Raw genomic sequence first — 18625 nt, forward strand, 5'->3', positions numbered from 1 at the left:
TGGAAGATTATTCAGGCGACAGGGATGAAGGGACATGGTCACCAACTGGGTGGGGCGTGGGTGTGGGTGTGTTAAGGAAACTCGCAGGTTTCTCTCTTGAACAAAATGGGCGCATTAGTCGAAAGGACTGCAGGAAGGAAACACAGGAGTGTGAGTGCAGAGAAAGGCAGTTCCCTCCTGATACTACTCGGCTTGTTTCTTCAGATTCCTTTTTTACCAAGAAACCTAATCTAAACTCTTGCACGTTCCCTACTGGGAAAAGCATGTGCTCAGCAGCCAACACAAACAGCTGCTCTGCTCATCAATTATGGTTTTCACTCTAAATTAATGAATTGCCATTCTAGTCATAAACCAGGCTTCTGTGAGTTTAGTCAGAGCAAAACAATTTACCAGGGTTTGATCTCTCTCAGAAGAGCTGACAGAGTTGTTTTCGCCCCTGCAAAGTGAAGGATTAGACCTTATACCACAGTGATCCTGGTAAGGCCTCCTTCTCTGGCACAGATTGCAGGCGGGAAAGGGTTGGGAGAGGGAGGGCTAGGAGAAGCTGCTTAATGCTTTGCCCTGTGCCAAGTCAATTGAGAATCAGGAGGTTCTGTGCTTGCAATTTAACAGCTATTTATAGCGTGCATTCTGAGATTCCCTCACATATACCACAGACCCAGTCTCCAGAAGAAAAATCGCTCCCCTCTGGAACTCCCTGCTTACGAACAGCAAGGTGCAAGCCCAGGCAAGTTGTTCTGGGAAAGTGGGAGATTGCGGGGTGGGGTGGGGGGTGAGTTCTGGTTGCAGTTGATCTAGAGATGGTTGGTTTCATCATAAAGACTTCTTGGGAAATCTGAGAAAAAAAATACTGACTTTCTAAGCCCACCTTGAATTGTTTCTTTACCTTCGCCAAACCTGCCAAGAGACATCTGAGTAAAAGAGGCAAAGGCATGGCTATTACCCACCCCACTGTTCAGATGAGGACACTTAGGCTCTCGGAAGTTTAAGCTACTTAGACCAGCACTGCATCATTCAAATGTCAGAGCCAGGACTTGACCAACCTCGGTCTTCTGATGCCAAAATCCACACCTTTTGCATTTTGAGTTTGTGTCCTGTGTGGGGAAGGACACCCTTCCCTCACCACCCACCCAGCAGGTCTTTCTCAGTCAGCGGTGGTCTAATGGTTCTCCTGCCTGAAGGTGCCCAACACATTCAGAACTGGTGACTAGGGCACCCAGATCATCCAACAGTAATTGAGATTATCCTCTGACCAGTAAGTCCTCCCAGATCCCCTTCCTATGTGCTCACCTTCTGCAATGTGCTACAGGAAACAGATATAGGGGCCGGGCACTGTGGCACGCCTATAATCCCCGCTTTTTGGGAGGCCGAGGCAGGCAGATCACGAGGTCAGGAGTTCGAGACCAGCCTGGCCAACATGACGAAACCCTGTCCCTACTAAAAACACAAAAATTAGCTGGGCGTGGTGGCACACACCTGTAATCCAAGCTACTTGGGAGGCTGAGGCTGGAGAATCTCTTGAACCCGGGAGGCGGAGGTTGCAGTGAGCCGAGGTTGTGCCACTGCTCTCCAGCCCAGGCAACAGAGTGAGACTCCGGCTCAAAAAACAAAACTATGAAAACAGATATAGGATGATAAAAATCCTCTGCCTTCAGAAGGTTATAGAGCAACACAGCCTGAATTGTGGATTTGGAATGAAAGAAATGGAATGGGGGCAGAGCTGCAGAACCAGGAACCAAACCCAGGTCTGCCAGACTCTAAAACCTGTGCTCCTGCCTGCGATGCTGGACTTTTTCTCCATCACGGTGCTTTAAGGTCTACAGAGTGTTTTCCAGACAAATAAATCAAGGCTGAGAGAGGTGAAGTCACCTGTGGCTTGTGGCACAGCTGAGAAACCTCCAATTCCAGATGCCACAGCCTCTTGCCGTATCTCCCTGCTTTTCTCACCTCAACGCTCTAGGTCTAGGCAGGGGAAGGTCTAGACAGAAAAGAGGACTCCTGAGATGTCTCATGAGAACTGTGATGAAGGAACTCCTTTTCCCTGCTTCCAGTGCCCATAGCACGGAGGGCATCCCCTTCTCCCAACATTTCACACCTGACCTGACTCCAGCCAACCCGCTCGAAAATACACAGTGCTACTTACATATTCCTTAATGTCCTTTGATTTCACAGCCTTGTAGGAATAATACGCAGGGTAAAGGGTGCCAAATATAAGCCTGGAGGGAAGAGAGACAAAAATAAATACGATTTTTCATTTATCTTATTTAATGGAAAATGTCTGTCTTCAATGCCAAGAGCAACTCTCTAAGCTACAGAAAGTGCTGCTGTGGGGCTTGATTTATTTTTATGAATGCCCTGAAGGTGTTCTGCTCGTGGCTGGGGCATCCTTGGGCACCTCTATCTTCTGTTAAAGCCCACACCCACCTCCCTTCAACCTGTGGTCTGGCAACATGGAAGGGTGGTTGGGGGTCATGGAAGCCAAAAATGGGGATGTGAAGGCACCAAGACCCCTGAAATTAAAGGCTGCCTTTCCTCTCCTGCTGCTAACCCCCCTCTGAAGCTCTGTTAAGCCTGCAAACACCTCAGGCTTCTTTCTCCATCAAAACCTTTCCCCTCAAATTTCACTCCCCTTGGACTTGATCTCAGCATCCTGCAGCTAGAATAAACTCTTCACATTTCATATTGTAAATCCAATCAGGCCAAGCCCTCCTCCCACCAATACATCCCATCTTGCATTAGCCTGTTTCTCATTGCTCTTAAGATGAAGAAGCAAAAATACCAGCAATGTGACACTGTTTGGGCAGCAGCTCTCACTGATCTATGCTCAGGGCTGCGTTGGGTCACTAAATGATCTTGTGCTCAGCCCTGCCTCTCAGGACCTGAACGGCAGAGTTCCACCTGCCCTCATTCTCTCCACCATGCACTATCCCCCACCCAGAAAGCCTTTGCCTGTGCTGTTCTCTCCTTCTGGAGTCTTCCTTCCCCCTTCTTTATCTGGTTAATGCCTGTTCATCCATCATATCCCAGCTCCAATATGACTTCTTCCCTGGCCTCCCTAACTAGCTCAAACCTCCCCACTACACTCATAGCACAGTGTACCTATTATCAGGGTGTTCTTTTATTGTTGTTTGTGTAATGTTTTGATTGACAGCCCTCTTTCCACAGCACTGTAAGTGCCTTGAGGGCAGATAATGGATCTGTTTTGCTCAACACTGTGTTCCCAGAACCTACCCCATAGTAGGCCCTCAACAGGTATTTTTAAATAAATGAATCGAGCTGGAGGTTTAATCTTTTCACCTGACAGATGAGGTCACCCCAGGTGCCAACTTAAGGCCAAGCTGACTAGGTGCAGGAGTGGGCCTGGCCCAGGTACTATATGAGCTGACATCTCCTGTGACAACCCCACAGACGGAGCTTTCAGAGTCCCTGCAAAGAGCCAGCCTAGTTACAGAAGACACCACACTGAAGAAACCCAAAGCTGTAGTTCACTGGGTATTGAGAGAACTCCTAGTCCAGAAGCAATTTACCAAGCAGGGGTCAGCTTTACCATGAGCACTGTTGCCAGGGAACACCCTGACATTCCACAATCATCAGGTTTCCAGGGAAAACAAAGTTAACTGAACCAAGTCCGTTTCTGGCACTGAAAGGGAGAGGGCTGTTAACTCTTGACTCACACATACCTTGTGCGAAGTGCTTTAGAGCTTTATCCCACTTAGACTGCCTTGTCCAAGGGAACCCCTTTTACAGACAGGACTCCAATGCACGGAGCAGCCAGTCACTTACTTGTCTAAGGCCTCATGACCAGTGAAGGGTAAGGCAGGTGCTGGAGCCCAGCCAGGCCAGCCTCCTCCAAGCCTGGCTTCTTGCGATCACTGTGCACTACCTTGGGGAGCAGCCCACCCTCCAGGAAGGCTGAAATGACCTGTGTGAAGAGCAGGATGAGCCACTGGGGGGATGAGAGAGTAGTGGAAGGAAGGGGAAAAAGTAGGCCTGGGGGTGAGGGGGAAACATTTAAGAGAGGGTAGTGCCAAAGACAGCAGGCAGGCCAAGGGGGAGGTGGCTGGGGAAGCCTGCTGGGTTTGGTCATCGCCCCCTTGGTGAGGAAGGTCCCCACACTCCTCCACACTGCCTCCTTGCCTGCCCCCTCCTAAGCATTCTCAGGTATCCAGGAGCCTCACTTCCTCGGGGAGGCCTTTCCTGACCTGGTCACCCCCCCTGACGATTGGGCTCCTCTCCGTTTTTAGCTCCTGTACCTGCCCCTTTCTTAGCTCTTGTCCACTGTATCCACTTGGTCAGCTCAGGGTGCGTCTCTCCCACAAGACTGTGTTCCACAAAGCCAGAGATGGTGTCCCTCATTCATAACACACCCCTGTGCCCTGCACAGCAGGAAGGGCTCAGTAAGTACGTGTTCACTGTGTGAAGTATCAGAATGGGGAAGCCAAAGCCAGCACCATCCAGGGAACGCTCGTGACCTTGGGACTGAGGTCTCGGTAGCGAGGTGGACGCCAGACAGCACCAGGCTGATTCAGCAAAGCCTCGGGCACAACGCCATGGACTGGGGGGAAATAAATACACCACTCCTCAGGCACAGGTGCCATGGTTATTACCCATGTCTGCCAGGATGGTTTCCAGCCCCTGCCCTGGGACAGCATGTGAGCAGCAGAGGAGAGACAGGTGGGAAGTACAGCGCTACCCAGGAGCTGATTGATGGGATCCCCGTGAACCCGTGGGTCGTGACACCCTCTGAATGGTCACAGAGCAGGGAAGGCAAGACAGGAAGGCCTGTGCTAGGTCAGCTGGACTCTTCTGGAGTGAGCTGGTTGCCAGCATCCTCCGCCTGGCTCCTGTGTTATAGCACAAGGTCCCTACACACAAGTTTGCTTTTCGGTTTCTAAAAGCTCAGTAACACTTAGCATCTCACTGCCCTGGGGAAGGGGAAATGGGATGAAAATGGTCAGTTCTTCTTAACCTATTTTGGAAATAAGGAATAATGAAGGAAGCAGGCTCAAGCCAAAAGGGCTTGGTACTTCTGCTCCTTCAGACCAAGTACCCCTACACGGCCCTTCTCCACCGGCCTCACTGGCCTTGCTTCCCACCCCTCCCTCAGCCTTGGGTTCACAGAGCCAGCAGCTGTCCCCTGATTAAGCCACATTCACTTGCAATCTGTGACTTTCTGGCTGCTCTTTCTTCTGTCTGAATGTTAGCACAGGATCTTTCCCAATCCCACAACTCTTTTGTTTTTCCTGATAAAGCGCCACTAATCCTTTAAGACCCATCTCAGAAATGCCACTTCTTCTGTGAAGCCTTTGGTTACTGCCCCCTCAGTTTTCTTGATACTATTTAAGCCTGTGACAGGCCTTATGTAGTAGCAGCAATAATAAAACATTTAAAATAATATTATTATATCATTGAGTGTTCACTAATGCCAGGCACTGTTCTACAAGCTGTACTCACTCTTTCAATTAATCCTCTCAAATACATAGGGAAAAAGAATTCTTACTACCCCATTTTACAGACTGGGACACCGAGGCTTAGCATCATTACTTACCCAAGGAGACACATCAGCCAGGTGCAGAGCTGGGATCTGAACCCAGGCAGCCTGACAACAGAGCCTGCCTTCTCCCGGGGCTGCCTGTGCTGGCTGAGTCTGTCTCCCTAGTCAGATCATATAGTCCTGGGCAATCAGGAGGGTCCCTCGTGCCTGGCACAGCACCTCCCCCTTTAAGTGGGTGCTTGAAATGTCTGTTGAGTAACAAGCAATTTCAATCTGTCTCCAAGGAACTCAGCCCACTTGCTAGACTCACGTAACTTTCTAGGAAGTCAGAAAAAATGTGGTAAGATAAGAGGGTCTAAAGCTCCTTTAATGCTCAAGCTGGGCTCAAGCAGAGGGAAGATGGAAGGCTGGAGTGCCATCCTCCAGAGAGACCAGGCTCTGCACTAACACACTTCTCTCGGTTATCTCTGAACGGAGCTTGCACCTCACAGCTCTGCGCCCACCCTCTCTTCCCCCCACTGTCATTAACTGTTACCCTGAAGCCCCGACTCTGTGTAAAGGCTCCATGGATCTGCCTGCAGCATTTCCCTTATCTTTGCCCTTCACTCCTCCTCTTGCTCCAAGTTAGGGGTCTTCATTCAGGTTGCCTCCCCACCCACCTCCTCCACAGCTGTGGCATCGAGAAGGGAGCATGAGCCTCGTGTGAATACTACACTCTGATGCAGTGGTTCCCCACTGGGGTGATCTCGTTTCCCAGGGTAATCTGGGCAATGTCTAGAGACACTCTGGTTGTCTGAGAGGGTGCTACTGGCAGCCAGTGAGTAGAGGCCAGGGATGCTGCGAAACATCCTATCATGCACAGGACAGCCCCTCTCAACAAAGAATCATCCATTCCAAAATGTCAATTGTGCCACTGCTGAGAAACCCTAGTTTCTAGACTAGTGTGCTGTTTCCTGGTCTTTGGGCCATGGACTCTTCACTAGACCATCAAGGGTCATTTTTTGAACCCCAAGGTTCATTTTTTTGAACCCCAAGAGCTCAAAAAATGTCCAGTGTCCCAAGAAAAACTGTAAATGCTCTGATAGTGGGGGATGGCCCCAAATGGTAAAGACCACATACGTAGCCTGCTGGCCAATGTCAGCGAAAACACAGCTCTGAAGTTGCTTATCAACTTCCTGGAGCTCTGGCCAGAAGAGAGAGATTGCTGACCTAGGGCATAACTACAAGCTGTGGCACTGCTGTTGCTGACCGTAGCCAAGTCCTCTGCAAACCATGAAACAAACTAGTATTTTCCACAGTCTTCTCAGGCATCCTAGAGTTGCACCAACATGTCCCAATCCCAAATTGTGCTAAAAATTTAAAAATCAATGCTGGCAATATATTTTTCTAAGATTAATTTTTTAAAATGTAAGAGGAATAACAAGTGTATTTATACAGCTCTTTATACCATTAAAAAACAAATCACACTGAAGAAATTGTATGTCACACAAGGGCTTCTGGAATGCTGTGTTTCTTGACCTGAGCACTTGCTTTATAATGACAAATATATATAAAACTGTACACATCTTATTTCATAATTTTTTTTTGAGACAAAGTCTCACTCTGTCACCCAGGCTAGGGTGCAGTAGCATGATCTCTGCTCACTGCAACCTCTGCCTCCCAGGTTCAAGTGATTCTCCTGCTCGGCCTCCTGAGTAGCTGGGATTACAGGTGTGCATCACCACATCTGGCTAATTTTTGTATTTTTAGTAGAGCCAGGGTTTCTCCACATTGTCGAGGCTGGTCTTGAACACCTGGCCTCAAGTGATCCACCCGCCTCAGCTTCTCAAAGTGCTGGAATTAAAGACATGAGCCACTGCACCCAGCCTTATTTCATAATTTTTAAAAATGATGTACAGTACCCAAGAAAATAAATTTGCACAGTCTTCCAATTCATGAAGGCACAGTGTTTCATCTGAGCATTAAAATGTATTAAAATTTACACTATGTTTTGTGCTTTGTGTTCTTAATAAAAATATAATTTTGAATTATGTTTTCTGAAGATACTTTCTAAAAACATATAAATCCATTTTTATCACTTTTTATGAGCATTAATCTCCAAGACTGTTTTCGCTGTCTAACAGAAGAATGCTCCTTGGTTCTTCAGCTCCTTTTGGCATTCCAATAAATATGCTATAATTCTTAATCTGGAGAAAACTGTAACACACAGCAGATATATTTGAAATCCCCTATATGTACTTTCCTGATACAATCCTTTTCCTCCTCCCCAAAACTCACCACTATCCTGAATTTGGTGTTTATCATTCTCACTATGTTTTTATTAACTACATGAGCCATGCATAAACAGAAAAAAAGTGTTTATACCTGTTTACATCTTCTACAAATGGAATCACACTAGATGTATTCCACTGTGATATGTTTTTTCATTCAAACTTATGTTTTTGAAATTCAATCCATGTTGACACTTGTCTTTCTAGATCATTTTTTAAAATTATTTATTTTATTTTTATTATTTTTTTGAGATGGAGTCTCGCTCCCATTGTGCAGGCTGGAGTGCAGTGGCACAATCTCAGCTCACTACAACCTCCACCTCCCAGGTTCAAGGGATTCTCCTTCCTCAACCTCCTGAGTAGCTGGGATTACAGGCGTGAGCCACCATGCCTGGCTAATATTTGTATTTTTAGTAAAGATGGAGTTTCACCATGCTGGCCAAGCTGGTCTTGAACTCCTGACCTCAGGTGATCCACCTGCCTCGGCCTCCCAAATGCTAGGATTACAGGCGTGAGCCACAGCACCCAGCCTAAAATTATTTATTTGTATTGACACAGGGTCTCGCTACATTGCCCAGGCTGGTCCCGAACTCCTGGATTCACTGATTTCCCACCTCAACCTTCCAAGTAGCTGGGATTACAGGTATGTGCCACCTGCATCCAGTTTTTTTAGATTCTTTTTAACTACTGTGTACCACTTTACTATATGAACATATTATAGTTTATTCTGTTGATGCATACTTAGGTTCCTTATTTTTCCCCTTTACAAACAGGGCTGTGATGAACATTATTATACATGTCTCCTTGGGCACATTTGAGACCTTCTCTAGGGTATCTACATAGTGTGGAACTGCTGGGTCAGAATTTACAGCATCTTCCACCAGATAATGCAAAACCACTTGCCAGAATGACTGTACCAATTTATACTCCTTCCTGCAAGTGTCTAAGATTTTAATACTCCCCATTCTTGCCAAACTTATATAGTCAGACTGTTAGATTTTTGCCACTGTGATGGGTATGGGTGTAAAATGGTATCCCATGTTTGTTTCAATTTGCATTTCCTCAGTGGCAGGTGAAGTCAAGCAACTTTTTATGCCTTTTGGCCATTTGGGCTGCTTAACTACCCTGTTTATATCCCTCCATTAGTTTATCTTGTTCTTAGTGATTTTTAGGAATTCTTTGTGAATTTTGGGTATAAATCCTTTCTCGGACATATGCATTACAAATGTTTTTCCTCAATATAAGCTCTCTTAACTTGGTTTGTGGTGCATTTTCTTGCTTTCTAGCTTTAAATTTTATATAGACAAATATATCAGTCTTTTCCAGATTTTTTCTATCTTGTTGAGAAAATCCTGGTCACGTATATTTTCTTACAAGAGTTTTAAACTTTTGCTTTTTCAATACTAGATTTTCATTCATTTGGAATTGATCTTTATGTATGATGTGAGTTAGGAATTCAATTTTATTCTTTTCTATATGGATCCCAATTGTCCCATCCCACTGATTTGCAGTGCTACCCGTCATACATAAAGTTTCCAATAGGCATAGGTATTATTTTCAGCTCTCTATTTGACTGATCTACTGTCTAACCATGCACCTATACCACGGTGTCTTTATAATAACCATAATATTAACAACCATGACTTTATAATGAATCCTGATATTCTTAAAATTGTCTTGGCCATTCTTTTTTTTTATTAGAAATTTCAATGTAGAATCTTGGCTATTCTTGACCCTTTGTTTTTCTATATAAATTTCATGATAGTTTGTCAAGTCCCACATAAAACCTTATTTAGATTTTGATTGGAATTTCACTGTATTCATAAAATTTACTAGAAGAATCACCATCTTTATGGTTTCAAGTTTCCTCTTTGTGAACATGGTGGCCTCCATTTCCTCATGTCTTCTTTAATGTCTTTTTATTATATGTTGTAAATTTCTCCATAAAGATCTTGTACATGTTTTGTCTTACTGCTAGGCACTTTAGGTTTTGGGGGTTTTTTTGGTGGCATTGTGGATTTTTAAAATTAGATTTTCGAGTGGTTATTCATGGTATATAGGAATGCTACTGACTTTCCAGGCTGCTCTCAGAACCACTAACCTTTCTGTGGTCAAAAGCATTTGGAGTCTCAAATGCATTATGGTGAGTGAAAGCAGCAAACTCAAAGGGTGACATGTGTTAATGACTCCATTTATATGCTCTTTCTTTCTTTTTTTGTTTTTTGAGATGGAGTCTCACTCTGTCACCCAGGCTGGAGTGCAGCGGCACAATCTCAGCTCACTGCAACCTCCATCTCCTGGGTTCAAGCTATTTTCCTGCCTCAGTCTCCTGAGTAGCTGGGATTACAGGCGTGCACCACCACGCCCAGCTGATTTTTGTATTTTTAGTGGAGACGGGGATTCACTATGTTGGCCAGGCTGGTATACACTCTTCTGAAAAAGGGAAGTTTACAGGGAGAAAAACCAGATAAGTCGTTGCCAGGGTTAGATGGGGAGGTGGGAGGTTGACTCCAAGAATGTGAAGGAATTTTGGGGAGGGATGGAGCTGCTGCATACCTGACTGTAGTGCTGTTTACACAACTGTATAAGTTTGCCCAAACTCAGAATTAAAACCCACACTAAAAAGAGTGAATTTTACCAATTTCACCACTATACACCTGACCTTTAAAAAAACCAAAGCATTCAGAGGAATTCACACTCACAAGTGAGGTGTGTCGTGGCTCTCCAAAAGTGGATCAAGTTGACCTGAGCATCAGCCTCCAAGCTCTGAGACAATCAGTACCTTCCTGATGTCAGAAGGTCCATGTGTGGCAAAACAAGCCTTCCCAAAACCATAATCCATCTCCAAGACCCACTGATCCTCTAGCCCTGAAAGGACTGTCTCAGATACGCTGTGGGCCTGGGATCTAAGTGCTTGAGAAACTCTGACCTTTACCATACTGCCCCAGGGAACATCGTCACTCACGATGGTTCTCTAGAAGCTTAATCTGGGAAAAGAGATCCTCCGTCTGAGCACACAGCTCAGGTTCCCATAGCACAGCAAACCACTTGGGCTTTGGTTGCCATGGGTCCCAACCCCTGGGCTTCTGCTTACTCACAGTGACTTTCTAACAGGCTGGAGGGAGAAAATAGGAAAACAGCAGAACTGGCCCACTATGCATTTTGGTTCCCTAAAGACTGTATTATTGTGACTTATAAGCCATTTATTTTTGAGTGCTCACTTTTAACCTTCATGTGAGACAGGTATTATCATTTTCCTCATAATAATGAGAAAACAGGTTTAGTGAAAATAAATAATTGAGTCTCACAATTAGGGGAGGAGGCCAAAGTCAAACACATGTCTAACTCCACTGCCCATCTCCTCACTGCTATGACACACTGCCTTCCTGACTCTGCAGTACATGGCTGAGAGTCTGCAGCTGGTCTCTGAATGAATGAATGAGGAGTAGGAGAGTGGGAGGAAGACTGCTGCCTGCTTCGTTGCCTAATGAAATTCCACTCTGGCCCTGAATTATAGATTTACTGACAACAGGTGACAGTATAATTTTAGGGTTTCAAGCACATAAACTGTTCACATAAACGAGGTTCTCTCCCGACCTGAGCTGATCTTGGGAAAACAGAAACGAGACATGTTCTTCTTTTTCACCTTGGCATGTGATTCTGCCAGCCTCTCTGTAGTCTTTCCTTTCCCAGTTGGCTTCAGACCCTGCTCCTCTCTGCAGATTTGAGAGAGTGAACACATACACAACTCTTCCTTGGGTAACCCACCTCACAAACATCTCATTTGCTTATTTCCTCATCTGATCTGCACTGTACCCCTCCGAGACAATGGGATTACTTTCCCAGTTTACAAATAAAAAAAACTGAGCCTCAGAGTAGTTGAGGGATATTCCAAAGCCCTTCTCCTATCCAACAAGACGCAAACCCAGGCCTCCTGTCTCCACGTCCCTGGCCATTCCCCGTTCCATACTGCCTTTCTTAGCATGAAGAGGCAGTTGCATTACTTATTTAAAGCTGTCTGTAATGTGTGCTGCAAAAATCCCATTTTAAGTTGGATTTTTATGCTCCCAAACCCAACTTAGGAAAGCACAAAACAGAAAAGTCTGATGCAAGCAGGAACAAACATTCTGTAAATTTCCAATTGATACTGTTCCACTCCACAATCCAATCCACACAAATCCCTCAACCACAAATGTCTGCCTAAATCTGTTGTTTTTGTTTGTTTTTAAGTCTTAATTGTAGAGATTCCTATTCTTAAGCAACCCAGCTTTATTGTGTGTGGTAGAAAGAGGCTGGGCTTTGACTTCAGACCTGAGTTTGAATCCAGCTCCAACCCTGACTAGCTGTGGAGTGGCAAGCATGCTTCTTAACTACTCTGAACCAGTTTCCTTGAGTACAGAGACCAAAAACACCTACTTTCAACAGCCACTATGCAGATTAAATGAGGAGACTGTAGGTACAAATTTAACTTACCAGAGACACTCTAGATGAATGACAAATATCAGTTCCCCTCCCTTCTACAGAAACAGTAACTGCAAATGCCAATTCTTTTAACCACAAAATGTTTTTCATTCAATCATTAAATATGTGCTGAGCACCTACTGTGTGCCCTGGGCCATCTGATAGGAAAGGCAGGCAGCAAGCAGATAATTATACAAATAACTGGTTATTGTCATCACAATAATTGTGATGAGTCCTGCTGAGTCTGTTTTGAAGAAGAGAGAAGATTCACTTACAATGACTGTCCTGTGGTTGCCTATTTCCCAGCTTATGCTCCCCTCCCCAGACCTCAGAGCCAGAGACCTGACCCCCAGCCAGAGGGTTCTGTGCTGAAGGGTTATGGTTTTCTCCTTCTGGTGGGCTTCATCTAAAGCCCCCTACATGGTATATATTTAGGCTGAGAAAAGGACTGCTGGGCCTTCCTATGTGCACCATGAAAAAGGGGTGGGGGGAAAGAGTGAGGAGCTCTTTGAGATTGACTGGCAGGTGGTCAGCGGGTATCTGTGGGGTTTTCTGGGGACTTGTCTGCTCAGCTGGTGCCCTCCTCGCTCTCACACAGCAGGTACTGATGTCCTCTGCCAGGGCCCAGCCAACTTTGAGTGCATGTGTCGGTCTGGCAGAGGGTATCAAAAGCCCTGGGGAAGGCCATGGGAACAGGACAAACCTTTACTAATGCCCACCAGGCACTGTACAAGGCACTGATCCCCACAGAAGTCAGGTGAGGCAACTACTATCCATTCCCTCTTACACAGGAGGGACCTGGGACATTAAGAGGTTAAATTCATTCATTCATTCATTCATTCATTCATTTGTTTGTTCGTTCATCCAACAGACATTTATTCAGTCCCTACTCTGTGTCAGATTCTGAGGCCAACACAAGGTCACAGAGCTGCTAACTGAATGAGCTGGATTCAAATGCTCTATCTGGCTTCAAACTCTGCTCTTCTAATCCAACTTGATACCTCAAAGTCAGAGGTTTTATCTTCAGGGAAGTCACAACATGGCCGGGGTGCCAGGTGTATCAGAACAAGAAAGGTGGCAGGCAAAGCTGCGTGTGCTAAGTATGGAAGGAAAGACAAATGATGATGGGCAAAACTACGGAGATAGAAAACAGATGAGCTGCCAGAGGCTGGCAGTGGGGTAGAAGAAGATGATGACTACAAAGGGGCATGGAGGAAGTTTTGGAGGCAATGAACCTGTTCTATATTTACACTGTGGTTGTGATTACATGACTGTATGCACTTGTCAAAGCTCACAAAACTATACAGTAAAAAGGGTGAATTTCACTGTGTGCAAATTATTAGGAATTTATACAGAAAATTTAATCAGGAAAATCAAGATTTGAATTCAAATTATACAGGAAAGTTCAGGTTTTTCCAGCCCCCTCACTCAGCTGTACTGAGGCTGCATCGCTTCTGTTTATAGTCCTATGACACCATGTGAACAAACACTGCCAAGTGAGGCTGGTCTTATACGTTTAGTTACTGATTTCCCCATCTGTTAAAATCAGCCAAGTTAACAGAGTAGAATGGTTATGTCTCAAAAAGATATTTGCATACCCATGTTCATGGCAGCATTACTCACAATAGCCAAAAGATGGAAGCAATCCAAGTGACCATCAACAGATGAATAAATAATGAATATTATTCATCCTTTCAAAGGAAGAAAACGCTGACACTTGCTAAGATGGATGAACTATGAGTATATTATGCTAAGTTAAATGGGCCAATCACAAAAAGGCAAATACTGAGTGATTACATTTATAAGTGGACTACTCTAGATAACTCAACTCCTTAACTAGATAAGTAAAACTCATAAAAATAGAAAGTAGAATGGTGGTTGCCACAGGCTGGGGGGATATAGGGAGTTGATAATGGGTGTGGAGTTATAATTTTCAGTTTTGCAAGATGGAAGCTTCTGGAGATTGGTTGTACAACAATGTGCAATAAATATACACTACTGACTGTACATTTAAAAATGGTTAAGATGGTAAATTTTATGTCATGTGCTTTTATCACAATTAAAATAAAATAAATTCATGACATTTAGGAACCAAAAAAATATCTGCATGAATATTTGTTCAAAATCATCCATAGTTAAAAATTTTATAAAAACAGAATTTACTTAGTATAGGTCATTAGTTCATTTAATCCATAAAAGATTACTTCTAAAAAAGTTATAAGAAAACAGAATATATAATCTTTCAATTTATATCTGTTTGATGCGACAATGCTATTTTGTAAAATTTACTAAAATTTTCAAACATCTCAATTTATTCAATCCATTGTAATGACATTTAAGATGAGTGAAAATTAACAAGTAATGCAAGTAAATATATTTTTTACTGGTTCTGGTTGTAGAGGAAAAAACATTGCTGTATATTATGTTCTATTAAGAAGTTACACTATTAAAATGTTTCTGAGATTTATATTTTAGATAGATAGATAGATAGATAGATAGATAGATAGATAGATAGATAGGTTTCTAACTTGTTCCAGAAAGGATCTGAGATGGCTTGGTTATAAATAATTGTGTGGCTCATAAGAAATTACCATGATTCCAGGCCACTGGGTTTGTCTGGCAGCAGAAGGGCTCAGAACTGCTAACAAAAGCACGGTTGTTACCTCACTAGAAGGGGAGGGTGGGACTATGTCCCACCTGCCCACAGAAGAACAAGGATTGTGTGAAACAAAGGATGTTTGGCTCAGGTCCAGCATGGCACCCTGATTAGAACACAAAACCTATTTTAAAAAAAAAGAAAAGAAAAGAAAAAAAGCAAGCTGGAAAACAGCAGCTTTACTTCAATGAGCAAAATTTAAATTCTGAGAGAATTTTCAGCACGTGTCTTAATTATGAGTGAGTCAGGACAATCAGGGAACAAATGCAGCTCGCAGCTGCTAAAGTGCGCTTCTGGCTGGAAGTTCTGGACCTTGCTCCCGAGTTGGCCAACCTGGGGAAGAAGGAAGCAGAGAGACTGGGGCGGGAACCCACCGTATGTACCTCTCGCACACCTGCCCTGCAGATGACTTAGGAGAGCCACTGCTGGCTGCACAGCTCCAAGGGCCCTGGCCACCATGTGCAATACAGACCCTGTGTAAGGAAGGTGAGGTCCTCCTTTGGATAACAATTTTTTATGTTTGATGCTTTGAAGGGCAATCCTCGGTAATGCTCTAAAAAGTATGGTGGAATACTGCACAATAGTTAAAAAGTTAAAATATAACAAACAGCTGCTTTGTGTTTTGTTTTTGTTTTGAGACGGAGTCTTGCTCTGTCACCCAGGCTGGAGTGCTTCGGTGTGATCTCCACTCACTGCAAGCTCCGCCTCTGCAAGCTCCGCCTCCCGGATTCAAGCAATTCACCTGCCTCAGCCTCCCGAGTAGCTGGGACTACAGGCGCCCACCACCACGCCCAGCTAATTTTTTGTGTTTTTAGTAGAGACGGGGTTTCACCGTGTTAGCCAGGATGGTCTCGATCTCCTGACCTCGTGATCCGCCCGCCTTGGCCTCCCAAGGTGCTAGGATTACAGGCGTGAGCCACCGCGCCCAGCCCACAGCTGCTTTGTTTAGAAAATAAAGATATTTCTCTCAACTACCACAGAATGAGAATTCCTCTTTAACAACTGTGCCATTTGCTTTTGCAGATCTGAAGAGAATAGATAAAACTAGGTCACTAAGGAGAAAAAAATTCCAAGACAATAACAGAAAGAGGTAGCTCTGAGCATGGAAATGTAAGAAGTTTTATTTGCTTCAGAATGAAAACAATATACATTCTTTCCATTTATGAGCCTCAAATGGCCACAATCATAGGTGACCATAAGGGAAAGTCCAAGTGAAGAATGTCCTATTATCCAGGAATCAAGACTAAAAAGGAAAGCTTCACACTTTGGGGAAAAAAAGTTACCAGTATAGCACTCCTCAGTAATTAGCACTGGTTACAATACAATGCACGCTCTGTACACAGCTTTTAGCAGTTTATATCCATTTGCACATACAAAAACTCTACGAAGTAGACATGATTATAATTTCCGTTTCACAGACTGGAAATGTGGATCAGAGAAGTTAAATAGTTGGACTAAGGTCACACACCAAGTTTGTAGCAGAGCCAGAACTAGAATGTGAGATTTCAAAGCTTAGGTACTAAACCATGGATGCTCCAACTTCTTTGATCGCACAAAATTAGTAAAATATTTTGATCACATGTATTTGTATTACCACAAGTCCTTGGCTTTGCTGAGGAAATACTTTTAAGTCATCATGAGGACTGGTTTAAAATTGGATTGTCTAAGGCCGGGCATAGTGGCTCATGCCTGTAATCCCAGCACTTTGGGAGGCTGAGGCAGGCGGATCACCTGAGGTCAGGAGTTTGAAACCAGCCTGGCCAATGTGGCAAAACCCTGTCTTTACTAAAAATACAAAAATTAGCCAGGAGTGATGGCAGGCACCTGTAATCCCAGCTACTCAGGAGGCTGAGGCAAGAGAATTGCTTGAACTGGGGAGGTGGAGGTTGCAGTGAGATGAGATCACGCCACTGCACTCCAGCCTGTGCAACAAGAGTGAAACTCCGTCTCAAAAAAGAAAAAAAATTAGATTGTCTAATACATCAGTTCATTTAACAAGCCTCATGCAAATTGTAACACAACTTGGGTTCTGCTGAAAACAATCAAAACAGCGAGGGACCGTGTTGCTCCCTCCATGTCGTGGATCTACCCCCTCCCTCAGCATCTCCCACCAGAACATGTGCCACGTTGTGCACGTCAGGCATGCAGACCCAGAGCCCCTTGCTGAGGGCCTACTCCAGGCAGGCACTGTGCTACCAACCACCCACATGGTCTCCTTCCATACTCAACATCCAGAGGCTTCCCCTGCCCAGAGAGCTGGCCAGCACTTGTGACGAGGGTGTGGCCCCTGTTCTGCCTGGCTGTGAAGCCACTCCAAGCTGCACCATGGAAGGAGGGACCACCCAGGAGAGCTTGGAGCTTGGGGACCTTGGTGCTGGTCTTTGCTATACCACTTACTAGACATGGGTTCATGGACAAGAGCCCAGAAGCCTCACTTGTTTTATCTCCTCTGCAAAATGTGGTGTCAAATGGGATAATATACGTTATGATACTTGAAAATGGAAATGCTGCACAGACTTGCAAAAATGCTTTTCCTACAAGGGAAGCTCTGACCAGAGGACCATGGACTATGGTGTCCCACCACTGGAAGGGCTGACATAGGAGCCATCATGGGAGTCATTTACCCAGTCCTGGGGTGGAGTTGGTACAAGCCCTGGTACCTAAAAGATGCAGGGATGCCACCTAGCTGGGAGACCAAGAACAGCCACTACCTGCAAGAGAGATTCTCCCCGGGGGTTGGAGGGAGGAAGAGAACACTTACTTTTCCAAGGTGGATGTTTTCTGAAGCCATGGGGAGGAGCGTCACTGTCTCAGTGGAATCATAAAAGCAACCTACCTCCTCATTCACTGGTTCTGGGTGTGAGGGAAATGCCTCTTCCCAGAAGACTCTGGGGGATCTCAGAGGATGCCTAAGGTCCAGCCTGGGTCCCTCTCAAAATAAAAAGAGAAAACAACTGACAAGTTCACACTGTTCCCTTTCCCTAGATGTGTTTGAGCCAAGAAGGCCTTACTATAAATAGTATAATTTGGCAAAAACTTCAGCACCATATAGGGTCGCATGCCCCACTTCCCACCCCAACTGGTCCATTAAGAAATGCCTGAGTTGAGGCATCGTCAGAGACATCCTGGGGGAAGTGGATAACCACAGTAACTAACTAGCAGTCTCCAACATTTTAGTGTAGAGTAGTTTAACAGCTCTGTGGCCACTGGCAGCAGGTAGGGAAGGGCATGCTAGGCTGTTTCCCTGGGTTGATGGATTGGTTGGTTTGGGGAATGGTGGAATTCAAGGAATGGGAGAAGTTTGGAGAACAGGGTGCTGGCTAAAGGTGCCTGGCCAGGACCCAGGATGATAGCACCAGGTCCCTGGGCATGGAAGGGCAGATGTGGCACAGGGATGGGCTCCCAACTGGGGGTCAGGAATCCTGGTTCCAGGTTCAGCTCTGATCCCAACAGGCTGGGTAATCTTAGGCCATCACACCCGCTCCCTGGATCTGTCTCTTCATTCTTTCATTCAGAAAACATTCACCTAGTGCCTACCAGTATGGGTGTGTAACACTGTTCTATTGCTGGTGAGGCAGGAGTGAACACATGAAGAGAGCACCGTGTCGAGTTCTGGGGTGCCCTCCCCTCCACAGCTCAAGCATTGTTTATCCCCATGCCTGCAGTCGGACCCAGGTCCAGCCCTGGCCTCTGCTGGGCTGTTTCTACCGTGTGGACGCTTTGAGCATGAACTGGGCCCTCTAC

At 45.1% G+C, this 18625-nt stretch overlaps 1 protein-coding gene across 16 annotated transcripts in view; it reads right to left on the reverse strand.

The window, feature by feature from the left end:
• Positions 1 to 18625, reverse strand: part of REEP1 (receptor accessory protein 1) — a 124091-nt gene that overhangs the window by 66034 nt on the left and 39432 nt on the right. For 10 of the 16 annotated variants that reach the window (NM_001164730.2, NM_001164732.2, NM_001371280.1 and 7 more), the window contains exon 2: positions 2144 to 2216. The exons of 1 other annotated variant lie outside the window; for it this stretch is intronic. In NM_001164730.2, the coding sequence (NP_001158202.1) occupies positions 2144 to 2216 (73 nt within the window). Of the gene's footprint in view, positions 1 to 2143; positions 2217 to 3297; positions 3442 to 5548; positions 5636 to 17642; positions 17662 to 17717; positions 17741 to 18625 lie in introns of those variants that run through there. 5 more of the 16 variants (XM_011533045.2, XM_005264504.2, XM_047445536.1 and 2 more) reach the window with 5 other exon arrangements.

The sequence above is a fragment of the Homo sapiens genome, chromosome 2 (assembly GCF_000001405.40).
Source record: "Homo sapiens chromosome 2, GRCh38.p14 Primary Assembly".
Classification (NCBI taxonomy): domain Eukaryota; kingdom Metazoa; phylum Chordata; class Mammalia; order Primates; family Hominidae; genus Homo; species Homo sapiens.